At 41.6% G+C, this 5,089-nt stretch overlaps 1 annotated feature.

Moving 5' to 3' along the window:
• Positions 276-1,475: an enhancer, noted in NCBI's record as "BRD4-independent group 4 enhancer chr3:188618060-188619259 (GRCh37/hg19 assembly coordinates)". NCBI's record gives its function as "activates an origin of replication core promoter dependent on BRD2, P300/CBP, MED14 and CDK7 cofactors, and independent of BRD4, by STARR-seq in HCT116 cells {active_cell/tissue: HCT116}" and the evidence as "EXISTENCE:reporter gene assay evidence [ECO:0000049][PMID:35650434]".

A 5,089-nucleotide genomic window follows, 5' to 3' on the forward strand; every position in this document is an offset into this window, starting at 1 on the left:
TGAGCTTTTTTTCCCTACTGTCAGCGCTTACTGTGCAAGATTTATTTTCACCACTTTAACACGTCTGCCTTTGTTTATCTTTAACAATTCCGCACTCCAAGACCCAGCCCTCAGGTTACCGCCTCCAGGAAATCTCCTTTCTTTGGCCTCCAGGAAGGTGTTTGCCTCTCGTAAGTGTGCCTATGCAACTTGAAACACACATACACTAGGATAGTCATGTGAAACTAAAATTTCCTTTTCCTCTGGTCAAAATTCCATCTAGACTAAAGCCCTAAAGGTCGCAAATTGGGTTTTACTTATTCCCATATGCATGGTGCCAGGTATAGAACAGACCTTGAATAAATGCATATCAAGTGGAGACTTGAATGAATGAGGGAATGAGTGTCTGTGTGTGGGATTGTAAGGGTTAAGAGGCCTCTTTCTAGAGCTGTCCCTGTAAAAAATGGAGACCCAGAGGTGTGGTTGCAGAGCAGGAGCAAGGCAATTACCCTTCTCCAGGAGGAGATGAAGACAGACCAGTGTGGACTTGCCCTTCGTTGCCTCTGAGATGTTTTCCATTCCATTTCTACCCTTCCCAAATCTTTGTTAGTTTGTACGCAAGATCTTTTTCCTCCAGGGCTGTGAAGAACTATTTTCTGTTATTTATTGTAATGGGGTGGGGAGAAGTGAGGGGACTCAAATCTTTTCAAACACCAGACAAAATTTGCCAGCTGAAAGGGCTTCATCTTGGCCATAACCAGATGAAAATGTGTGATGTCAAGCCAACCTAAGCTATCCCATTGTTTTTAAGTGTGACTAAATACTGACTAATATTACTTCCTCTGGCACTTTTCATTTTTTTTTTTTTTTTGACTCAGTACAATGGAAATGTTCCAGGCTGTTGTTATAGTTTGCTGTCTGGACAGAATGACTTCCTGCACATCATAACCACTTATGATGGAGAAAAATAGAAGGGGTGAGAATCCCAAAATTCCCAAGAATACCCCTAAGTTTAGCAATGGCTTTTGGCTTGGATTTTTGTTGTTTTTGTTGTTATGTTTTGTTCACAAAAGCAATAAAGAATACTGAAATCCAAGTTGGAAGGGACCTTGCCAAAGTTGCTCATTGAGGAGCCAACATTTTTCCGGCCATCCTGAGACCTGCAGTGTCGCCACGACATTCCCTGCCAAGCAGTTCAGACTGGTAAATTCTCTCTTTCTTCAGGAGTTCTGTTCCTTCAAAAACAAGCTCTCACACCTTTGGACTATTAGCACTCTCTTCTGCCTCCCTGCAGACTCTTCTTTTTAGCTCTGCCTTTTGGGAAGCAAGTGGTGTTTGAGGAAAGGAAAGTGATTCAGAGCCGTGTTCCATGCAGACTAGATCACTGGAGACACGATTGGTAGTGACTTTTCTCACAGAGGAAATGAAGAAGTAAGCAGAGCCTAAGCTCTGGGAATGTCTTCAGAGAGTGGAAACAAAGGATACTGTTTAAACGTGCGTCTGGAAGGTCAGATAAGTCCCTTCTCTCACATGTATGGCAGATGATAGATAACCAAAATTGTCTGATCCAAGCATTTCAGACTGAATGAAGTTCCAGTATGTTCTCCACTCCTTCTAAAACCAATAAGCCCCTGCCCCATCCAACTCCTAGGTTCAGTCTCTATTAGCTACCACTTTAGGCTATATGTTGAACAGTCATCACCCTCAGCTTTCTGCCTCTCCCAATCAATCTGGTGGCAGCACAGATCAGCTGTCCCGTGCCACCTTCAGAGAAAGCCTGCTATCCCTCTCAAAAAGATTTTCCTCCCATTATTGTTAGAAGCTAGAGCATTCACAAGGAGGTGCAGTACCCCTCTGAAAATCAATTAAAGCCCCTTTCAACTGTGGGATACGCTTTTCCCGGGGTGTGAGTCATTTCCATAACTCTGAGTTTCCACCAGTTTTAGGGTCAAAGAAAAAGCCAGCCCCCACAGGGCCTTTCAGCTCCCTGGGAATTTTAAGAAAAAGGATTCATTCCATGGCAGAGATGATTGCCTTCTTTTTAACTGCAATTGGTGGCCCAGAAACCACAGCCATCAAATGCAGAAGCTTTGCTAAATCATCACTATTTCAGCTACTAATTAGATCTAATGTTCACAGCAGAGGAGTCTGTGCGAGCAATAAACCACTTCTTCAAGTGATGAAACTTCCAAGTAAACACACTTTGATTACCACAAGAAACATTCCCTTGCACAGGTTTTTTGAGCCAATGAATAGAACCCCCCAGACATGGCTCCATAAATGGAGTAGCAGTAGACTGGAACTCTGGATGAGCACAGACAACCCTGTCTCAATTAGTCAGTCCCCTGCTCTACCTTTTGGGTTCTGGCAAGATGCCTCCAAGGGCCATATATGTGACAAAGTAAATTTTAGTTAACAGCAAATTCGCTGGGTATACCATGAGACGACACTGCCTGAAGGCTTGGGCCATCCAGTGAGAAAATCATCTGCTACTTCTGGGGTGTAGGGTCGCAGGTCCCTTGGACCCAATGTAAGGGAGTAGGTTTAGAGAAAGGGACCGTAGTGGCAAGGAAACCTGAGGCACTGTGCTAAATACTTTTTTACATTAGTTATCGCATAGCAAAAATATTGGCATTGGCTCCAGAACATTCTCAGAAGTGCTCACTTGATGTGCCTTTAATAACCTGATTGATTCTTTTTACATTGTATCTATAGACCAAAACATCACATTGTACCCCATAAATATACACAATTATTGTCAATCAAAAATAAATTAATAAAAAATTATGCAAGATCTACATGTTCATTGAAGAAAAAATAGAAAATACAAACAAGCAAAAAGAAAGTCTTTCATAAACCTGTTGTCTAAAGTGGGGTTTTTCAACCTTGACACTAGGGATATTTTGGGCTGGATAATGCTTCATTGTGAGGACTATCCTTGCATTGAGGACATTGAGTGGTATCCCTGGCCCCTACCCACTAGATGTCATTAGCACAGCCTCCCCACATTTGTTAACAACCAAAAATGTCACCAAAAATTGCCACATGCCACCTAGGAGCAAGATCACTCTCACTGAAAATCATTTTAGAGATAACCAGTGACGCCATTTTCCTGGCCTTTTTTCCTGCATATATGTATGCATATATGTATGTGTTTATATTTGTATACACACATATATCTTTTTTTTTTTTTTTTTTTTTTTTTGAGACAGAGTTTTGCTCTTATCGCCCAGGCTGGAGTGCAGTGGTGGGATCTTGTCTCATGGCAACCTGCACCTCCCGGGTTCAGGCGATTCTCCTGCCTCAGCCTCCCAAGTAGCTGGGATTACAGGCGCCCTCCACCACGCCCAGGTAATTTTTTGTATTTTTAGTAGAGACGGGGTTTCACCATGTTGGCCAGGCTGGTCTCGAACTCCTGATCTTGTAATCCTCCTGCCTCTGCCTCCCAAAGTGCTGGGATTACAGATGTGAGCCACCACACCCAGCCTACACACATATATCTTAAAATGGAGTTGTAGTATATATAGTTTTATATTTTCATTTTTCACTTAACGGTATATCCTGAAGATTTTCCCTTAACCGTATCCTGAATATGTTGATACCTGTTCTATAGCATCATCTTAGTAGCTCTGCTGTGCTCCATAGCATGGTGGTACCATGGTTTATTTAACCCTCAGTTTTTGGACATTGAGATTATTTCCAAGGGTAGTAAGGGCATTAAAAAAAACATTGTCTCAATTTTGCCTTCAAAAATAGGAGAAGGTTAGCATACTGCATATGAATAGAGAAACAAATACTTATACTGTTTCCTTTCACTTACAGAGACCATTGCGGTAACAAGAAAGAGAGAGGGGAATCTTAAATCAAGACCTCTTGACTCCTCTGTGCTGTTAATAGGTAAGGGCCTGCATAGAACCTGTTCATGAATCTCAGTTAGGCTAAGGTAGAATTGAAAAGGAGAGCCAGATGAATTTGAAAAATACAAAGTAAGACAAATAGCTTGGGGATGTGTAGCCAAAGAAGAGGCCAAGAATAAGGAATCCTGGAAAAAGAAAGACAGGAGGAGATGGAAAGAGGCTTAGACATGGGGAGAGGAGTCCCCACTAGGCAAGGTAGTTGTCTGTTGGGATGTTAACCCTTCCGTTGCACAAACCTTCAGAAAAAAGTTGATCATACTCCTTGCTGTGGCCCAGGTACTTGGAAGAGTAAAGGATATTTGGGGTGGGTTGTATTATGCAGGGTGATACATTGTAAAAAAGGGACAGCAGGGACAGGTACGAAATATGGAGTAGGGATAGAGAATTAAACAGAATTTGGAGGCAGAGGCGAGTAGGAAAACAAGAATCGCCAGAGATATTGGTATTTGGGTCAGAAGGTTTTCACTGCATAAGAAAATTGGCTGATCCAATCTTGTTTAAATATTAAAGGCCAAAATGATCTCAGTAGAATAAAGGACTTTAGAAATATCTAGTCAGCAGACGCTTAAATTATGCTTTTGGGGGGCTTTTATAAGCAAAACTACATTGAACACCATTGTAGTTGAATATGTGCACATATCCTTAACTTTTTAAAGGCTAAATAATTAGAAACGAATTGCTAGGTACAAGAAAATTCATGCTCTTAAGGCTTCGGATACATACTGTCAAAAATACTAACAGGAAAGTTTTAATAATCATTTACTGTGTTACCATATAATCAATATGGTAGGACAGTTCTTTTTTCCCCATTATTTCACCTACATTGATATATATTCTTCCTTTTTTCCAGGAGAGGTAACTGAGATGTACCATGTTCACAGAGTGGTATAAATGGAACCACAGCCCAGGGGTTCTATTTATAGAAACTTCTGACTTCAAGTCCAGAGCTCTTCTTTTTTTTTTTTTTTTTTGTGAGACAGAGTCTCACCCTGACGCCCAGGCTGGAATGCAGTGGTGCAATCTTGGCTGACTGCAACTTTTGTCTCCTGGATGCAGGCAATTCTTCTGCCTCAGCCTCCACAGTAGCTGAGAATACAGGAGTGCCACCACACCCAGCTAATTTTTGTATTTTTAGTAGAGGTAGGGTTTCATTATATTGGCCAGGCTGGTCTCAAACTTCTGACCTCGTGATC

The sequence above is a fragment of the Homo sapiens genome, chromosome 3, assembly GCF_000001405.40.
Source record: "Homo sapiens chromosome 3, GRCh38.p14 Primary Assembly".
Classification (NCBI taxonomy): domain Eukaryota; kingdom Metazoa; phylum Chordata; class Mammalia; order Primates; family Hominidae; genus Homo; species Homo sapiens.